The sequence below is a fragment of the Homo sapiens genome, chromosome 8 (genome assembly GCF_000001405.40).
Source record: "Homo sapiens chromosome 8, GRCh38.p14 Primary Assembly".
Classification (NCBI taxonomy): Eukaryota; Metazoa; Chordata; class Mammalia; order Primates; family Hominidae; genus Homo; species Homo sapiens.
Genome location: NC_000008.11, coordinates 96,065,736 through 96,071,248, shown reverse-complemented (window position 1 = coordinate 96,071,248; position 5,513 = coordinate 96,065,736). Strand labels below are relative to the sequence as shown.

The window sequence follows — 5,513 nt, the reverse complement described above, 5'->3', positions numbered from 1 at the left end:
ATTGCTGAACGGCAAATGTTGCTGCCTGATCGTTCCTCTGGAAGCTTTGTCTCAGAGGTGTGCTCGGCCGTGTGAGGTGTCAGTCTGCCCCTACTGGGGGATGCCTCCCAGTTAGGCTACTCTGGGTTCAGGGACCCACTTGAGGAGGCAGTCTGTCCGTTCTCAGATCTCAAACTCTGTGCTGGGGGAACCACTACTCTCTTCAAAGCTGTCAGACAGGGACATTTAAGTCTGCAGAGGTTTCTGCTGCCTTTTGTTTAGCTCTGCTCTGCCCCCAGAGGTGGAGTCTGCAGAGGCAGATAGGCCTCCTTGAGCTGCGGTGGGCTCCACCCAGTTCTAGCTTCCTGGCTGCTTTGTTTACCTACTGAAGCCTCAGCAATGGTGGGTGCCCCTCCCCCCAGCCTCACTGCAGCCTTGCAGTTTGATCTCAGACTGCTGTGCTAGCAATGAGCGAGGCTCCGTGGGCATGGGACCCTCCAAGCCAGGCACAGGATATAATCTCCTGGTGTGCAGTTTGCTAAGACCATTGGAAAAGCACAGTATTAGGGTGGGAGTGAGCCAATTTTCCAGCTGCTGTCTGTCATAGCTTCCCTTGGCTAGGAAAGGGAATTCCCTGACCCCTTGAGCTTCCCAGGGAAGGCGATGCCATGCCTTGCTTCGGTTCACACTCGGTGGGCTGCACCCACTGTCCTGCACCCACTGTCTGACAAGTCCCAGTGAGATGAACCCGGTACCTCAGTTGGGAATGCAGAAATCACCCATCTTCTGTGTTGCTCAGGCTGGGAGCTGTAGATTGGACCTGTTCCTATTCAGCCATCTTGGAACCACCCTCCAGAAGAAAATATTAATGAATTTGATAATGTAGCAATAGAAATGATAAAAATGAAACAGAAATAAGACTCAAAAGAAATGAACAGAACAGCAGTGAGTGGTGGGACAATTTCAAGGGGCCTAATATTATGGGTAATTGGGGCACCAAAAGAGGATGGAGGGAAAGACATTTGAAGAACAATGGCCCTAAATTTTCCAAATTTGATGAAAACTATAATCCCACAGATCCAAGAAGCTCAACAAACCCAAATCCAAGCAAAGAAAAAGAAAAAAGAAAAAACCTACACCCAGGTATGTCATAATCAAATTGTTCAAAACCAGCAAAAAGTAAATATGTTAAAAGCAGCCAGAGGAAAAAAGATACCTTTCAGACAGAGGAAGAAAGATTAGGATTAGATTTCTGATTAGAAACAATGACAATGTAAGCAAGAAGATAGTCGAGCAACATTTTTAATAGTATTGAAAGAGAGAATTTCAAACTAGACTCCAATAACCAGAGAAAATATCTTTCAAAACAGAAACTGAAGTTGAATTAAATAAATTTTCAGAAATACAAATTTAAAAGATTCTATCACCCACCGACTATAAGAAATGTTAAAGGAAGCCTTTCAGGCAGAAGGGAAATGATACCAGATAGAAATATGGACCTATGCAAAGGAATGATGAGCATCAGAAATGGCAACTAGTCTCTGCTCCTCCTGTTTGACATACAGCTGCAGCTTCTCATGCAGCACCAGCTTTTAACTCTGGCAAAGTAAATATTGTCGCCATCAATGACTCCTTCATTGATCTCAACTACATAGTCTACATGTTCCAGTATAATTCCACCCATGGCAAGTTCCATGGCACTGTCAAGGCTGTGAACAGAAAGTGTGTCACCAATGGCAATACTATCACCATCTTCCAGGAGCAAGATCCCACCAAAATCAAATGGGTTGATGCTGGCATTGATTATGCTGTGGAATCCTCCAGTATCTTCAGTGTCTTGGAGATGGCTGGGGCTCACTTAGAGTGGGTAGCCAAAAGGATCATCATCTCTTACCTCTCTGCTAATGCCCCCATGTTTTTGGTGGGCATTAACCATGAGAAGTGGAAAAAAAAAACCTCGTGATCCCTAGCAATGCCTCCTGAACCAACAACTGCTTAGCCTCCCTGGCCAAGGTCATCCATGACAACTTTGGCATTGTAGAGGAGGACTTATGACCACAGTCCATGCCATCATTGCTACTCAGAAGACTGTGGATGTCCCCTCTGGGAAACTGTGGTGTGAGGGCAGGGCTCTCCAGAACATCATTCCTGCATCTACTGGTGCTGCCGAGGGTGTGGGCAAGGCCATGCCTGAGCTGAATGGGAAGCTCACTGGCATGGTCTTCCATATCCTCACTGCCAATGTATCAGTCGTGGACTTGATCTGCCATATGGAGAAACTTACCAGATATGATGATATCAATAAGGTGGTAAAGTAAAGTAGGCCTTGGAGAGCTCCCCTGAAGGGCATCCTGGGCCACACTGAGTACTAGGTTGTCTCCTCTGTCTTTAACAGTGACACCTGCTCTTCCTCTCTTCAATGCTGGTGAAATGCCCTCAATTACCACTTACTTTGTCAACCTCATTTCCTGGTATGACAATGAATTTGGCTACATCAACAGGGTGTTAGACCTTATAGTCCACATGGCCTTCAAGGAGTAAGAACTCCCTGGACCACCAGCCCCAGTGACAGCATGTGTGGAGGAGAGGGGCCTTCAGTGGCAGGGAAGTCCCTGCCACAGTCATTCACCTCCACACTGAGAATCTCCCCTTGACACAGTTTTCATGCCAGAAACCCTGAAGAATGAGAGGGGCCTAGGGAGCCCCACCTTGCCATGTACTGTACCATCATAAAGTCCCCGTACTCAGCCAAAAATAAAATAAAACAAAATAAAAAAGTAACCACATTGGTTAGTACATGACTTAAAAAAGTTGCTTACATCTCTTTATAAGATAATTTACTGCTTAAACAAAAATAATAACAATGTCACGTAGGGTACATAATATATGTAGAAGTAAAATAAACTACAACATTAGCACAAAGGCTAGAAAGAGAGAAATAGAAGTAAACTATTGTAAGGTTCTTAGACCATACAAGAAGTGGCAAAATATTACTAGAAGGGAGATTGTTATAACTTAAAGATTATACTGTAAACCACAAAGTAACCACTAAAATAATAAAATAAAGAATTGCAGCTAATTAGTTTACAAAGGACATATAATGGAATAATAAAAAATACTCAATACAAAACAAAAGGGCACAAAAAAGAGGATGAAAAAGTAAACAAAGAACAGTTAGGACAAATAGAAAACAAATATCATGACGGTGATGTCAATAAACATACTAAATGGAAATGTTCTAAACACCCTAATTATAATGCAGATATAATCAGATTGGATATAAAAGCAAGACCCCAATTATATGTGGCCCACAAGAAACCCCATGTAAAAATAAAGACACAAATAGATTAAAACTAAAAGGATGGAAGCACATACACTATCCTAGTATGAATTAATAGAAATCTGCACTGGCTATGTTAGTATCAGACAAAGTGAACTTCAGAGCAAAAAATATGACCAGGGATAAAGAAGGTCATTTCTTAATGATAAAGGAGTCAGTAAATCAAGAAGACACAGCAATCCTAAGTATTTCTGCACCTAATAATATAGCTTCAAAATATTTGAAGCAAAAACCAATAGAACTGCAAGGAGAAATAGACAAATCCACAATTTTAGTCACAGATTTTAATGCCCTTTTCTCAGTTTATGAAACAACAAGACAGAAAGTCAGGAAGCATATAGAAAACTTGAACAATGCTATCAACCAATTTGACCTAGTTGACACTTATAGACTGCTCCTCCCAACAACAGCAGAATACACATTCTTTTCAAGTACACAGGGAAGAAGTTTATCAAGGACCAAGTACACACCAAACAAATCAACACACAGTTTAGCAAGATGGACCATGTTCTAGGCCATAAAATATGTTTCAATAAATTTGAAAGAATTCGAGTCATACAAAGTATATGTTTAGAAATGGAACTAATTAGAAATCAATGACATAAGGAAATCTGGAAAATTCTCAAATATATGGGAATTAAATAATATGCTAAAAAACTTGGCTTTCACTCACCTTTACTGAGGAAGCAAAAACTATGTGTTCCAGCACAATTAGAGAGTAAAATAAGGAAGGGAAAAACTTGAGCTTCAGAATATAGGAAATTCTAGACAAGATCTTGTAAAATCGAAGTTCAGAATAACAGCCATCCTTAAGAGAGCAGCCGGTTTAGAATTCGGAAACTGGAGGGAGAATTTCATGAGGAAGGTATCCAGGAACAACATAAAATTGATACATCATCTGGTATGTTTAAACATAGGCATATGATGGAGAGGTTTGAAACATCTAAGGATATTGTTTATAGATATGGTATCTTTTATCTCATAAAAGATATAGATGATTATGATAAAAGGGAGGTAATTAAGTAATACCAGTAAAAATCAAAAAGTACAAGAAGCATAATTATATTGTAGCATTTGCTATGCAGAGAACAATATTTTATGTTGTTATGATGATGGAAACAACAGTTACTGATTTTACTAAAAACTCTGATAACTGTATTGGGAAGGTGAAGGAAAGGAAAAGGTATATTGGGGTTAGAGAATTTGATATCTATCATAACAGCAGTAAATAATGCATCTATTTGATAAATCAAGAGGTAAATTCTTATTTAAAATAATGGCAGAAATATAAGAAATGGTTTTTAAAAGTTAAAAAATATTGCTCTTGGAAATTACGTTAGGAAAAAGTGACAGGGAAGACATTCTTCGTTATAAACTCTGCTTAGTTTTGATTAAGATAAAACTCTGTGTAAGTATTTTTTGGTGAAATATTTTTAAACAAGAAATGAAACCAACTAAACAGAAATCAGTCATGTCGCCTATTACTCTCTACTTCAACTAAGAACAGAATAAGAAAAAATAGTCAATTCCTTGGGGATGGTTCACTGTCATCTGAGCTGTAGTAGGTAAAGCAGAATATGTCCTAGGTATAAAATTTTGACACACTTCTATAGCATTTAACAAAGTTTACTAACTCATAATGTTGGGTTGTAAGGGTAATGACATTTAAAAATAATATTTAAAAGGGACATTCTAATAGACAATTAATGGAGAGGGTGGGGAGCATCAAAAAACTCAGTAATCAAAGTAAATAATATGTTAATGCAATATTTTAAAATTAAAATCTGCAAAATAAATGCAAAACATTCATAATGAATACAATATCAAAATTTTAAATAAAAATAGGATCAGTATCGCCGAATTTTTTCTTTTGTCTTAGGCTCCAGTATGGCCCAGTATGGCACGGGTTTAACTTATAAATATTAAGGGTTCTGGGTACGGGGAGAATAATAATCATCCTCTTTCACATCTCATAACTCTGCATGAAGATGAACTATTGTCATGAGGGAAAGTTTTTTGAAGACTTTAACATGCTGTATAAATATGAGTTGTTTCAAATAATCTCCATAGTGCTTTATTACCTACTAAATCATTCATTCTGATCAAAGGTGTATGGTTTCTGGTGTCTTCTAGCAAACTCATCAATCCTGTATTTTCTTCAATGACCTTAGCAAAATGAATAATTCTTCTAGAT

General features: G+C 38.7%; 1 pseudogene; it reads left to right on the top strand.

The window, feature by feature from the left end:
- Window positions 1,518-2,730, top strand: GAPDHP30 (glyceraldehyde 3 phosphate dehydrogenase pseudogene 30; annotated as a pseudogene).